General features: G+C 44.4%; 1 protein-coding gene across 6 annotated transcripts in view; it reads right to left on the bottom strand.

Moving 5' to 3' along the window:
• GAD1 (glutamate decarboxylase 1) overlaps positions 1 to 15379 on the bottom strand; it is a 47942-nt gene that overhangs the window by 21016 nt on the left and 11547 nt on the right. For all 6 annotated transcript variants that reach the window (XM_011510922.1, NM_000817.3, XM_017003758.3 and 3 more), the window contains exons 4-6: positions 10503 to 10661; positions 8944 to 9186; positions 3253 to 3343 (exon numbers count right to left, since the gene is read on the bottom strand). In XM_011510922.1, coding sequence (XP_011509224.1) covers positions 3253 to 3343; positions 8944 to 9186; positions 10503 to 10661 — 493 coding nt within the window. The remainder of the gene's footprint in view (positions 1 to 3252; positions 3344 to 8943; positions 9187 to 10502; positions 10662 to 15379) is intronic.

Raw genomic sequence — 15379 nt, 5'->3', positions numbered from 1 at the left:
TCCTGATGAGAAAACTGAGGTTCAGAGAAATTCAGTGGTTTGTTTTAAGATCTCCGAGTTAGTGTGTTTAAGCAGAATTCCAAGTCTATGTCACAGCTGCTTTTCCATGACAAACGAGAACTGCTTACTGCAGGCTCCTATCTAATGACCTGCCCGGTGGTGTAAAATGATGAATAACTCCCATAGAGAATTTCTCCTGGATATTTTCTATGAAAATAAAGTGCTAGATACTTGAAATCATAACCTCATAGCAAAGGGTTATGATAGATCTTGCCATTAAGATTATGTATTGCCATTAGATGTTTGAGGGCAGGCTGTTGTTTACACTCGGGCCCTACCTGCGCAATTGTGCTTGGTGGCCCTGTTCTGGAAGAAAAGAGCTGTATGTGCCTTGGATAACTACATATTTGTGAACTTTTGTTTGGATCTTCACTGGGTCGTTGCTTAGAAGAAGAATATACTGCACAGCTATGTGCAGAAACAGGTGTAAAGGCATGGACATAGATTTTTTTTTTTTTTTTTGAGATGGAGTCTCGTTCTGTCGCCCGGGCTGGAGTGCGGTGGCATAGTCTCAGCTCACTGCAACCTCTACCTCCCAGGCTCAAGTGATTCTCCTGCCTCAGCCTCCTGAGTAGCTGGGATTACAGGCACCCGCCACCACACCCGGCTCATTTTTGTGTTTTTAGTAGACATGGAGTTTCACCATGTTGGCCAGGCTGGCCTCGAACTCCCATTTTAGGTGACCCATCCACCTTGGCCTCCCAAAGTGCTGGGATTACAGGCGTGAGCCACCACACCCAACCTACCATCTTTCTATTCTAATAGTCAGACACCTTGCACTTTGCACCTGTGTCAGGTTATTGGATCGTTCTTTTTAAGAGGCTATGACTGAGGAATATAGTTCTTATTTTCTATGTCAGGTGCCACCTAAATTCAATGAGAGTACAGGACCAAAAACCAGGCATTATCACTAAATAAATCCTGCACTGCCATAGAAAGATCCTTTTGCCATTCTTTCCCAGACTTATTTTGAACACTGTTCCCGACTGGAGAAGGAATTGTCACAAGGGAGCAAATTTTGCCTCAGCTCCTGACAGTGCTGCCACATTTCATGATCTTCCAGGGCAACTGGCTTAGAACAATTTCTAGATAATAGTTATTGCTTCTTCAGACAATGCCTTGTCTCCAGAACTGACAGAAACTATTTTGCTATTTTAAATAACCTTCTCTATCGATCTGTTGGAATCGGTCATATTTTATAAATATCTCCCATTCAAGTACAGCTGCAATTACTACATGTCATTTAGTTGGATTGGCCTTGACCTCAGATGGCTGGGACACATTTTAGTGTTTTGCAGCTGAGCTAAGAGAAGAGTAAGGGACTTTGGTTTTATGAACACATGCCAAAAAAGGAGAATTTGTGGGATTTTTCTGGTTTAGGAATATCTGGTCATAAGTGGTTGAAAGGGGGGAGGTCCGTTATTTACCTTGAGATTGGAGACATATATATACATGGAAAAAGCAGCTGAGTGCCCTGCAGAACACACACTTAAAGGTGCTGAGTAAATTCAGTGCTTGTATTAATATGGGTACTTGGACTTTAATAGATATGTATCTTTTACTCTGTTTTCCTCACTTATTTTCCAAATGGTTGAGTTAAAAACAACAACTATATTTCCTAATTTAAATTGTTCCTTAGTGCTAGATACTACAATTAAACATTAGTGTCTTTTCTCAAGTTATAATTAACTCTACTATGATGTCTGTGCTGGCTGGTATATTTTTATCTCAAAAATCACAGTACAGTAAAGATTGCTAAATGGAGCTTTTTGTTCAAATTCCAAGCAACTGTATCTTTGACCTGTATTCCTCTTGGCTCTTCCAAATCTCAGTGACCCAACATGGACAGTCTGTGAAGCTAACCATGACCTGCAAGCAGGGAGCATGAACATCGTTTTAGTTTTTCAATCAGTTTAATCTTTTATGCTTTTTTACCACCAGAGGCTTCACTTGTCACATTTGCTCTTTAAAATTTGTCACTGTTGTTTTAAATTAGCCAAGAAAACAGGAATCCTTAATTAATAGAAACTTTTCTGAATATAGTTAAGTATTCTGAGTCACAGCATTAAACAGCTTTAGAATACATATGGGTCACTATATAATTTTAAATGCCCTTCAGGTTTTCTGGCTGAGAGCAGTTTAAGAAAAACAGACTACCTTAAACTTCAGTAATTTACGTTCTATCTTGATATCAAATGGATTTTCTCATTTTAAGCAATACTACCCTTTTACCTAAATTCATTTTTTGGAATCTACTTTTCTATGAACTTAAAAAGTGAGTGGCTATTTTCTGAATATTTCCACAGTGATGGACACCCATGTAATTCTTATATAGTTGTTTTTAAATTATTATAAGATATTTGTTTTGTTATTTTCCTTTGGATACTTTAATAGGATGTAGTGCCATTGTCTGGATGTATAGATACTGGTAAAACATTGTCATTAGTGTTGAGAGCAAAGGCAGTACTCTGATGGCCCCTCCATCGATTAGTAATCTGACATTTTCTTAAAAGAGGGCACATGCATGTAGAGGAAAATCTGGGATGATTGCTATAAGACTACCCAGGTAGTACTTCTACCCCATACCCTACAGGACCTCAGAGTCAGTTTTGTGTAAATTTTCAAGAACTTAGAAACAAAGGAAGGCTTTGCCTACACAAACAAGTATGAAAAAATGTCACATTTAGAAAAACAATCACTTATTTTGAAAAGAATATATACTGTATCAGTATCGGCTGAATTTTGTTTTAGAATTTTTAGTTAAGCAATAGGTTGATCAAATTGGTTTGTGGGTTTATGGCTGCTTTAATTATGGAAGAAACATGACCTAAATGATAAGGACCAATGTGCTTGGGTGGAAAAAGGTAAAACCAAGATCATACCTCAAAACATAACCTCTTTAGATACACCATTAACAGAAATGGGTCTTTTAACATGAAATTTCAAGACTACATTTTGGAAGTTAGAGTTATTATTTCTCATGACCATGCTTTCCTTAAATTCCATTATTAAATTCAACAATAGTTTATCAAGTATTTACCATTAAATCAGAACTGTGATAAACCTAAAGATTTTAAGAGAAAAAATGACCAGGGAAACTTTAATAAAATAGAACCACTGGGACTGAACTTTTAAAGCAACAAGCCATAGTCATACATCAGGGTTGCTTATATGAAAACATATGAGACTTACATGTTGGTATTGGCCGTTGATGTCAGCCATTCTCCAGCTAGGCCAATAATATCCAATCCAGTGGAGAGCTGGTTGAAAAATCGAGGATGACCTAGATAGGAAACAGAAAAGCATCAAGGCAAATGCAGATTTCTCAACCTATCTTGAAGGCAAACGGCCTGCCCCACTGGGTCACACTGATGGGGCTTCCATCCCAGTGATATGTCGAATAAGGCTGCTCAAGGATATTGAAAAAGGAAGGGCAGGTTGACCCACCCTATACCAACATTAACATTCATAATGTCCCTCAAACTTCTATGTTTCTAAAGCATCGTGCTTTTAAAGAATAATATCCAGTATCATGAAACAAATCATGCTTTCCAGTGTTTTGTGTTTTGATGTGTTTTGCCAATATATATATAGTAAAATGACCTTCAAATTAAATTTATGGCTGAGATAACTTAGCTCTCCTCTGTGAAATGGGCAGCCTATTTCACTCATTCAGTTGTTGGTGAAATAATTGCTTTTGCTACGTAACTCTAAATCCCTGTGCAACCCACAGTATGCTTTAACAGGCTTTGCTCTCAGCAAATTCAGGATTGTTGCCAAGTTTTTGCCAACTTAGCATTCAACGGAAAACTCAACTCCACATCAGCAGGCTTGGCTCAGCTGTCAGGAAGGAGTCAACGCAATAGATTATCTAGGGACGTGTGGCTGGGAACTGGTGTTAGAAAGATATGCTGACTGCTGTGTTTCCAGTGGAAATTGCCTTTGCTTCTGAAAAAAAAAAAAAGAAAAACAACCAAAAACGGTCAGAGAGCTAGTGTTAGAATGTTCCTGGTCTAACTCTCCTCTCTGAGAATCTCTATTCTTCCCTAGATGTGATTCAGAACATCTGGACTATGACTTCTCATATCAGAAGATACCAGTCTCTGCATCTTAAGAGCCCTCACAAAATAATACTGTTTTTTAGAAAAAACTAAAAGAAGCATAACTAGTAAACTTAGTTTAAGTATGGGGCCATATTCTAGATATTCATGTGGACTATCCTAGATAGTTAAATGATTCCATGTTACTCTACTTTGCTCATTGCCAACAGAATCTGAGGTCTTTTGAAACAACACATTGTATTGAAAGCCATTAAAATATATATGCAATATCCATTTAAAAACTTTTAACAATAACACTTCATTTTAAGACAAGACTGAATGGTAAATAAATGCAATCACACTATTTGATAATGTATCAAAACCATACAGCTTGGCAGAAACAAAAGATGGACAAAGACAGAGAGATTAACACAAAGTGAAATAGTATCTCTTTGTCCATTAAAATATAAAGGACACAAAGTCCTTCAAAATCTTATTTTTAGCTTATGGTTACAACCTTGTGCCCCCAAATCTTATATCTATCAGAATTTCTATTAAGTAACAAAATAGTTTCAATTTGAATTTCAATTCTCTATATTGGATGAAAGTAGCAGATGATAGATATGGTGCTGGGCCGCTCATGGCCTAAATTCAGGTAGGGGGAGAAGGAAAGAATTATTTTTTAAAGCAAAGTTTTCCTACAAATAAACTACAAGAAAAAAAAGAAGAGTTGGAGGGGGAGATCTCTTGATTAGGAGACAAGGCAAACAACTGCATGTAAGAAACTTATTTGGATCCTGATTCAAATGAGTTTAATTAACTAAAAGCATTTATGACGTTCATGATACAATTGGAAATTTGAAAACTGACTAAATATTTCATTAAGGAGCTATAAATTTTTCTTTTCAGGTATGACAATGACATTGTGGACTTTTTTAAAAAAAGTTCTTAAGAATGAATATTGGGCCAGGCACGGTGGCTCATGCCTGCAATCCCAGCACTTTGGGAGGCCAAGGTGGGTGGGTCATCTGAAGTCAGGAGTTCGAGACCAGCCTGGCCAACATGGTGAAACCCCATCTCTACTAAAAAAATACAAAAATTAGCCAGGCATGGTGGCGTGCACCTATAATCCCAGCTTCTCAGGAGGCTGAGGCAGGGGAATCGCTTGAACCCAAGAGGGGAGGTTGCAGTGAGCCGAGATCACGCCACTGCACTCCACTCCAGCTTGGGCAACAAGATTGAAACTCCATCTCAAAAAAAAAAAAAAAAAGAATGAATATTTATGGATACAATAATATTATGTTGGGGATTTGCTTTCATGTAATGTAGGTGATGGGGAATGGATGGCGGTACAGGTAAAAGCTGATAATAAAGCAGGGCATTAGGTTTATAGGGTTCATTATAGGATTCTACTTTTGTATAAGTTTAAAATTTTCCATAAGAAAAAGTTTTAAAAAGAACAACGAAGGGAGTCCAGCATATCTACAAATCACTTAAGTAGCTGCTGTGGCTGAAGGCTGACTGGTGCCTGTTAGTTCATGGGAAATCTCTATAGGCTGGTTCATTTTTTAAAAGAAGTCTTTTATTAATTTATAGAGAAATTTCTAAATGCCATCATCATCTCTTCACAGACTATACCCGGATCAGTATGTTTTCACTATTAAAACCCAATTCATTATTTTGGCTGAGCCTATTAATGCATTAATATCCTTGAAAAAATACTTTCTACTGTGTGTAGCTACCTGTGGGGTTTACCCTATTGCTCCTTATCTATGCTTAAATTCCACATCAGCAACCAGGAGCTGTTTTGACACGGCAGCAACAGCATGCTTTTATCAGGGCCAAAATCCTGAGATATAGCAGGAGGTTTCATATTGCTTGGAAGACTGTGAACTCTGTAAAGACAAATATCTGCCCCAAGAAGCAACTCTGAGGAACAAAAATGAATGTTTGCAGGCTAAGTACCTAAGTGGGTTCATACACTGGACTAATGAAAGTCAATGCTTTCTCTCTCTCTCTCTCTTTTTTTTTTTTTGAAACAGGGTCCTGCTGTCACCCAGGCTGGAGTGGTGCAGTGGCACAATCTCAGCTCACTGCAACCTCCGCCTCCCGGGCTCAAGTGATCCTCCCACTGCAGCCTCCAGAGTAGCTGGGATCACAGGTGCACACTACCACGCTCAGCTAATTTTTGTATTTTTGGTAGAGATGGGGTTTTGCCCAGGTTAGTCTTGAACTCCTGAGCTCGCGTGATCCACCTGCCAGCCTGCCAACGTGATGGGATCACGAGTGTGAGCCACCAGGCCAGGCCCGTCAGTGCTTTCTCTGACCACAAGATGCTTTGGTTTTGTAGATAATATTAGTTGATATTATGACAAAATCATGTATTTTTATTTGAGGGACAACGCCATTCTGGGCTTTCATAATAAAATGATGTAGTTCTCATCTCTCTGAGAAAGCGCATGTAGAGCAAACTGGCAAAGTTCAAAATATCACACCAAAGCAAGTCAAGCTAAACATACATGGGGAATTCTGACTCTTTTTAAAATGCAGCCGAATAACACTATTTGTTTTCCATTAGGAATATATTAGCCATCTGACCAAGATGAGAAGTAACTAAATGTAAATTGATAGAGTGCTTTTCTTTAAAAATCAAACAACATAAATTTTGTACATATAACTGAGTCTTGTGTATCCATCAGTCATTTAATGAAGCTGCACTTATTCCAGTGGTGTTGGCAGACCTCAGCAGCTCTCTGGGATTCCTCATTTTAAAAAGCATCTTTGGCCAGCATCATTATTTCATTATAACACTTTGTTTTTGACATCCAATAGTCTTACTCAGCTCTATCACCACCAGCCTCCTAGTCTCAGTCTTAAATCTATCTTCAAATGACGAGGAAGAATGAGAGGGAAAATAAAGAAGGAGAGACAAAGAAGAAGAAAGAACACAGGATTGCCAGTTGTGGCCTTGGGGCTTCCCCTGTGGTGGCAACTAAGCTAGGGACTGTCAATTATTCTAGATCTGTCTGCCTGAGAGCTCAGGAAAGCCAGACTGTAGTGTGGAGAGAGTTATAGGGAGAAGAAACCACTGTGTCACTCCTGGGCTTAGTCCACAGTCTGAGCTGTTTCTAAGCATCTCAGACAGAGGCCCCAAAGTCCTTGAACTGGAGGCAATTGGAAAGCAACTGCTTTGATGAGGATTGCTGATTAGAGAGAGCTCCTGGAACAAGAAAAGGAGGCAAGAGGACATCCTCAAGGACTCCCACTGGAAATAGAATTTGGTGACTCAGAGTGTCCTAAGTTCCAGAAGTTGCAGTAGAATGAGAAGGCATGTGTGTATGTGTGTGTGTGTGTGTGTGTGTGTGTGTGTGCGCGCGCGCGCGCATGTGTGCCTGTGTCTTTTTGGCCTGTGTGTGCATGTGTCTTTTTGGCCTAGCTGGTAAAAGGTGTCATGGGTTGAATTGTGTTCCTCAAAAAGATATGTTCAAGTCCTAATCCCTGGTTCCTGTGAATGTGACCTTATTTGGAAATCGGGTCTTTGCGGATGTAATCATGTTAAGATGAGGTCATGCTGGATTGGGGTGGGCCTTAATCCAACGACTGGCATTCTTATAAGGAGAGAGAAATTTGGACACACACACAGGATGAAGGCCATGTGAAGTGAAGGCAGAGGTTGGAGCGATGCATCTACAAGCCAACAAATGCCAAGGAATATCCACAACACCTGGAAGCTGGTAAAGACAAGGGTGGATCCTCTCCAAGAGCCATCAGAGAGAGCATAGCCAGCACCTTGATTTTAAACTCCTAGCCTCCAGAATTGTGAGAGAACAAATTTCTATTGTTTTGAGCCATCCAATTTGTGGTCATTTATAATGGCATTCCTAGGAAACTAATACAGAAAGGGAGAGGAAATAGCCCAATTCTCCCCAGTGTCAGGGACAGGCAAGGGCAGGATTTATCAGAATGAAATAGACCTGAAAATGGAGGCAAGAAAAGAAGCAGAGGATGGGTCATTCTGCTCTCTTTAGGTTGTGAATAGCCTAAATCCAAGAATGAAAATTCTTTTTTTTGAGATAGGGTCCCAATCTATTGCCCAGGCTGGAGTGCAGTGGCACGATCTTGGCTCACTGCAGCCTCTGCCTCTTGGCCTCAGCCTCCTGAGTAGCTGGGACTACAGGTGCACGCCACCATGCCCAGCTCATTTTCATATATATATAAATATTATATAATTTATATTTATATATAATATATAATATAAATATTATATATAAATATTTATATATTATTTTTATATTTATTATTTATAATTTATTATTTTTAAATTTTATTATTTATAATTATTATTTATTTATTATATTAAATATTTATATATAAATATTTATATATAAAAATAGGTATATACACACACACACACACACACACACACACACACACACACACATATGTAGAGACAAGGTTTCGCCATGTTGCCCAGGCTGGTCTCGAACTCCTGAGCTCAAGTGTTCTGCCCACCTTGGCCTCCCAAAATGCTGGAATTATAGGCATGAGCCATTGTGCTTGGCCAGAATGAAAACTCTTTATACAGAACTTGACCTAGCACCAAGCATTTATATCTTTTTTATCTACTTTTACCATGATATATGCTGATGAACTTTTGCCTGGGTCGGGTCCCTCCACCAACTGTTACTGCCCAAGCTTGTTCTTGTGGTCACTGGGTACTTTGCCGCCTTATCTCACCAGGGCTGTGTTTTTCTTCCAACACAAGTTTGATATCCTCACAACTGGCAAGGGTGAGATGGAGGGCAAAGTTGCCACTACCTGTCTACCCAACTCTCCTCCTTACCTGTGCGAACCCCATACTTCAAGGTGTCTCTGCAGTCAACCAGGATCTGCTCCAGGGACTCGGGGTGGTCAGAGAGCTCCAAGTTGAAGCCCTCCATGCCTTCCAGCAACTGGTGTGGGTGATGAAAGTCCAGCACCTTGGTGGAGCGATCAAATGTCTTGCGGACATAGTTGAGGAGTATGTCCACCACTTCCAGGAGGAATTGCACGGTTTGCTCCTCACCGTTCTTAGCCGGAAGCAGATCTGAATTGGGGAGAGCAATGAATGGTTTTCACCTGACTCATATCTAGATTTCTTCAGCCCAGAGACCCCTAATATTAACCATGCTATCTGTATAGGCCTGATTTCATTCTGGGATATGTATGTGCACTGAGAATCGGATATACCACATCTCCAGAAAAATGCACATACACAGAAGTTTTGCACATGCTTCCTGGGGGTTCACAGCCTTTCTGACAGGCTGCTCAGACATGGAATGAAGTGCTCTGAGACGCCGTGAACAACCTGCGACTGCGGTTGTCATCTGCAGGTTGAATGGGCACCTGTGAGGAGTGTGATGGAGGGGGCATCTGTCGTGCTCCCCTGGGACCAGGTGTGTCCCTGTCTATCTGGTTTGGTGTTGTGATGTGCTTGGTCTGTTGGCATCAGAGGGTAAGGCCTCTGTGGGTAGAGGCTGGGGTTCCCCCTGAGGAGGGTGGTCCTTGGCGGTGTCCTTCGACAGGAAACTGGAGCTGGAAGATGGGGCTCAAGAAGGTGGGACAGGGAACCCCTGCCTCTTTCTTGACCCCACCCTTTTGGGCCTGGACTTTGAGATATCCAGAGGTGACTTTGGGTGACAGGCTCTGCAGTAGTCAGGCTAGAGGTTAGGCAGGGAAAAAAGCTGTAGGGGCCCAATTCTGTAGCTCACAGGCAGGCTGTGCAGTTGTGCACGATACTCTCTGTGACTTCCTGGGTTAGCTCCAGGGTTTTAGTGACATATTGTTTAATACTCTGGTCTGCCTTCTGTGGCCCTGTGGGAAGTTCACAGAAGGGGATGGAAGCGGATCTACCTATGAGCTGTTTGGGAGAGACTGGTAAAGCACCTCCTGAGATGAGTGTTGTGGGGCAGCAGGGGTTAGTAAAACATCTCTGAAAGGAAAACAAGTTCCAGGACACTCGTTGGTTATGAGGCTCAGCATGCAACTTCCCATAGTGTGATTTTGTGTGTATGTGTGTGGCCAATCTTCCAGGATAAACGTTATTAAGGAAATCATTAGATTTTCTTATATGCAAGGTTCCTTTGACTCTGAGAGTCTATGAATCCATATTTGTTCCCTCGAGTGTCTTTAGAGTTGACTTTTATTGACTGCCTTCATCCAGTTTCCAAAATGATGGAGACCTGGCCAGCAGGGAGGGAGGGAGTCAATTATATTCCCCCAAAGTCACAAAAGCAGTTTCATGTGGGTTCAGAGAGAATAATGACATTTCTTGATAAAAGAAGTAAAATTGCAGGAAAAAGTCAAGAAACTCAAATAAGAAATCTACTGGCTAGCATGGGGCGGGAGTGGGGCAGGGGCTACCTCTAGCAAACAGATTAGAGAAGTCAGTCTCTGTGCGCCGGAAGCGGGCATCCCGGTCGCTGTTTTCACAGGAAAGCAGGTTCTTGGAGGATTGCCTCTCCTTGAAGGCACTCACAAGGCGACTCTTCTCTTCCAGGCTGTTGGTCCTTTGCAAGAAGCCTATGGCACAAGAAGCTGGTCAGAGAGAGTGCTGCAAACTGCCCAGCCCCTGAGGGTCAGCTGCAGAGTGAATCAACTCTCCAAGCAGGGCTCTTGTTTCTCCTGAGAAAAGAAGTGAGTGTCTGTGTTTTAAATACAGTGGCTCTGGCACTGCTCGCCTTCAGGCAGGGAGGGGGGCAGTGCCAAATGTCATCAGTGGCAGAGGCCCAGTCATGCAAGAGAGAAAAACAGTAAGTGAAGCCCGTTCTCCTCTCTGAATGTGACAGTGAACTCACAATTAAGTAAGTTGGACAGCTTCCACTCCAGTGACCAGCCCCAGGATAGGGCTTTAAAGGAGGAGACACAATCAGAGAAGATGCTGCCAGCACTGTTTATGGGCTGTATAAGCAGAAGGAGGAGGGGAGAGAACAGCAGAGGTAGGAGGAGAGGTGAGGACAGCTGAGGGAGGAGGGTGAGGACAGCAGAGGGAGGAGGAGAGGTGAGGACAGCTGAGGGAGGAAGATGAGGATAGCAGAGGGAGGAGAGGTGAGGACAGCAGAGAGATGAGGAGGGGTGAGGACAGCAGAGGAAGGAGAGTGAGGACCACAGAGGGAGGAGAGCAAGGACCGCAGAGGGAGGAAGGCGAGGACAGCAGAGGGAGGAGAGGTGAGGACGGCAGAGGGAAGAGGAGGGGTGAGGACAGCAGAGGGAGGAGGGTGAGGACAGCAGAGGTAGGAGGGCGAGGACAGCAGAGGGAGGAGGGTGAGGACAGCAGAGGGAGAAGGGTGTGGACAACAGAGGAGGAGGGTGAGGACAACAGGGGAGGAGGGTGAGGACAGCAGAGGGAGGAGGGTGAGGACAGCAGAGGGAGGAGGGCAAGGACAACAGAGGGAAGAGGAGGGGTGAGGACAGCAGAGGAGGACGGTGAGGACAGCAGAGGTAGGAGGGTGAGGACAGCAGAGGGAGGAGAGCAAGGACAGCAGAGGGAGGAGATCAAGGACAGCAGAGGGAGGAGATCAAGGACAGCAGAGGGAGGACAGCGAGGACCGCGGAGGGAAGAGGAGGGGTGAGGACAGCAGAGGGAGGAGGGTGGGGACAGCAGAGGGAGGAGGGTGAGGACAGCAGAGGGAAGGGGATGAGGACAGCAGAGGGAGGAAGATGACAGCAGAGGGAAGAGGGTGAGGACAGCAGAGGGAGGAGGGTGAGGACAGCAGAGGGAAGGGGAGGGGTGAGGACAGCAGAGAGAGGAGGGGTGAGGACAGCAGAAAGAGGAGGGGTGAGGATAGCAGAGAGAGGAGAGGTGAGGACAGCAGAGAGAGGAGGGCGAGGACAGCAGAGGGAGGAGGGTGAGGACAGCAGAGGGAGGAGGGTGAGGACAGCAGAGGGAGGACAGCAGAAGGAGGAGGGGTGAGGACAGCAGAGGGAGGACAGCAGAAGGAGGAGGGGTGAGGATGGCAGAAGGAGAAGTAGTGAGGTCCAACACAGAGGATTCGGGCAGACACTTTCCTCCAGCACCAGGTAATGCTCACAGGGTTGAACGTAAGTGGTATTTTTCTGAATGCAAACCTGAATGCAGCTTTTCTTGCACCACCCCCTCTCCTTGAATGAAGGTACTGTGAGACAAAAAAAAGCTTCAATCTTCTGTGTTGCCATTTAATTCTATAAGTACTTATTGAGCACCTGTTGTACAAAAACACTTTGCTAAGCATCTAGGATTGGGGACTGATAAAGCTAGTGGGACAGATCCCCTGCCCTCCAGGAGCCTACAAGCCTGGCAGATGGTGACAAATGCTGGAATAAAACTAGTCATCCAAGAACTCCACAGAGATGACAGGAGGGATCTGAGCCCAGGGCGGGATTCTCAGTGCCTCACCTCTGCCCCTCGGAGTGAGTGGAAAGTTCTCCTGCCCAAGGTGAGCAGGACAAACTCCGGCAGCAAACGGGGAAAGAGGGTTAAGCCAAAAGGGCAGGAGAACCTGCCAGCGTGGAGCACACTCCCTCCACATCTCCACCATCCCCTGTGGGGCTCCTGGCCCGCACGTCTGCTCTTTCCTTTGGCTTCTCCTCCTTCAATTCAGCCTCAGTCTTAGCCCAAAATGCAGCACACTGAAAAGAGGAAAAAGGTTCTAAGCTTCTTGGTGACCCCAAAGCTGTTTCTGTAAATACCAAGAAACTTGCGGAGTCACACGTGTCACAAGGCAGACTTGGAAGAAAGTCCCAAGAGGTGCAAAAAGGCAAGTTAATCTGGAGAATTCAGCTTTGCTTCCCAGGACTACAATTCAACTGTGATGGGTGGGAGAAGGGGGGATGCATGGGAGGGCTGCGGTGATTAGAATCCTCCCACACAAGGGAGCCAGGGGCTATTTCTGGAGGGAAGAAGGGGAAAGCAGAGCCACCAAGCTTTTTGTTGCTCCCAGCACCTTTTACATTTATCACTAAAGCCCAAAGGACATGAGAAGGGGGGAAATACACTATAATAGAGCTCCACACTTGGGTATAAAGATGGGATTGTATCCTTTTCCATATCTCTTTGCCTACTTCCTGAATTCCTCCTCCAAATCCTCAAAGTCCAGAGCCAGGAGCCAGCACTCATTTGCCAGAGGGATGCAGGATCAGATGGCACCTGAACTCTGAGACTGCTCCTCTCATCCCAGAACATTGAGCTGTGGAATTTGCCAGACTTGAAAGACCAAACCCATGTGGCCTCATGTAGTGAGGTCCTGCCCAGCTGAACCTCCACTCTGTTGTCCCCGACGCCTGCTTAGGCTTCTGACTCACTCCCTGAGTCTCCCCACCTTGAAGCCCCTTCCCTCTGGGCAGCTGCAGGAAGCAGAAACTCGGCTTGAGGTTTTGACACAGGCTCTCCCAGAGATGCGCTCATGAGGCTGAGAAACGATCGTTATGCCACAGCTTTTTTTTTTTTTTTTTGAGACGGAGTCTTGCTCTGTCACCCAGGCTGGAGTGCAGTGGCATGATCTCGGCTCACCACAACCTCCAGCTCCCAAGTTCAAGTGATTCTCTTGCCTCAGCCTCCCAAGTAGTTGGGATTACAGGTGCCTACCACCACGTCTGGCTAATTTTTGTATTTTTAGTAGAGATGGGGGTTTCGCCATGTTGGTCAGGCTGGTCTCAAACTCCTGACCTCAGGTGATCCACCTGTCTCGGCCTCCCAAAGTGCTGGGATTACAGGTGCGAGCCACTGCGCCCGGCCCTACGACACGGCTTTAAACCTGCATCCCATTCCTTGGGCTGCACTTCCAGTAATGTACTAGGAATCAGAATCCTCTCTAAATCCTGTAATTATTTTATGAATAGCACACTTACACTGCATTATAATTTATGTTAAAACAATTAATTTGCTAATATAAACATATAATATATATTGTCACATGTCTTTCACTTTGTTTAGGAAGGTGTTTGTTCTCTAAAATACTGGGATCCTCAGAAAGGTAGGTGAACCAGGCCTCCCTTGGCTCTGAGAGGCCCTGGAAGGAACTGCTTCTCCAAGGATGAAGAGGTGGTGGATGACATGGAGGTCAGTGCCTTGACAATTTCCCTGGCTAGCAAGGGGTCCTGTAAGAAGGGGTCCCAGAGAATGAAGCCGAGTGTACTCCCTCTTGCTCTACACCCCAGCTTCGAGGACCTAGTTTAAGCCTGTGGGTAACTGGTCACAGAGCTCTACATTCTTAGAGGCAAAGAGGAAAGCAGAGGAGAGGCAAAGCTGCAGTTGTGTTTGGTTGGGTGCTAGCACACTGGCCAGCCGCAAGGGGAGAAAAATCATGACTCCACCTCTGAGCTGAGGGGAGCTCCTGCTGCAGGTTCCTCACCCCTGCTGCCAAACTCAAAGGCTTATGGGGCCCAGTGAGAGAGTGTGTATGTGTATGTGTGCGTGCATGTGCGCACAGGTATGTGTAGCTAGAAAGCACCTGGCTCCAGCCAGTTGTTGCCAAGTGGGGCTTTGAGCTGTGTATGGCATAAACACCTATGGCCAACAGGGCACGTGGGAGCTGAAGCCCAGCACATTCTCTGTTCACCAAGCTATGGCATGGAATTGCATATGCATAGACGGAGGGGCTCTTTTTCATTTGTTTGTTTGTTTTTGAGACAGGGTCATACTGTATTGCTGTTGTCCAGACTGGAGTGTAGTGGCGCCATCATAGCTCATTGTAATTTCAAACTCCTGGGCTCAAGCGATCCTCCTGCCTCATCCTCCTGAGTAGCTAGGACTGCAGCTATGTGGCCACCACACCTGGCTAATTTTTTGAAAGTTTTTGTAGAGATGGGGTCTCCCTATGCTGCTCAGGCTAGTCTCAAACTCCTGGCCTCAAATGATCCTACCACCTTGGCCTCCCAAAGTGTTGGGATTACAGATGTGAGCCACCATGACTTCTTTTTCTGATTTTCTTGGGCTAACAGCACCTGCCATGTTTCCCTCCCCATTGCCCACCCCCAAGTTTTTTCAAGAGAAACCAGAAAAAGAGAGCACTTGAAATCTCTCTATTTTTAAGGTTTGGCACTTGATACAAAATTACACACACATACATACACACACACACACACACACACGAGTGTAGGCTAAATAAAACAGCTCAGGGGCTGTAGTTGGCAGCAAGAGATAAGTGATGGAAGCCCAAGGACACCCTGGGAAGTTAGCAGAGCCTGGAGCCAGAACTTAGGGATCCCTGCAACTCATCGTATTTAGGTCATGCCACCATGCCTGCAGCACTCTCCAGCTCTTG

The sequence above is a fragment of the Homo sapiens genome, chromosome 2 (assembly GCF_000001405.40).
Source record: "Homo sapiens chromosome 2, GRCh38.p14 Primary Assembly".
Classification (NCBI taxonomy): domain Eukaryota; kingdom Metazoa; phylum Chordata; class Mammalia; order Primates; family Hominidae; genus Homo; species Homo sapiens.
The sequence above is the reverse complement of the archived record's forward strand: the minus strand, read 5'-3'. Positions and strand labels throughout refer to the sequence as shown.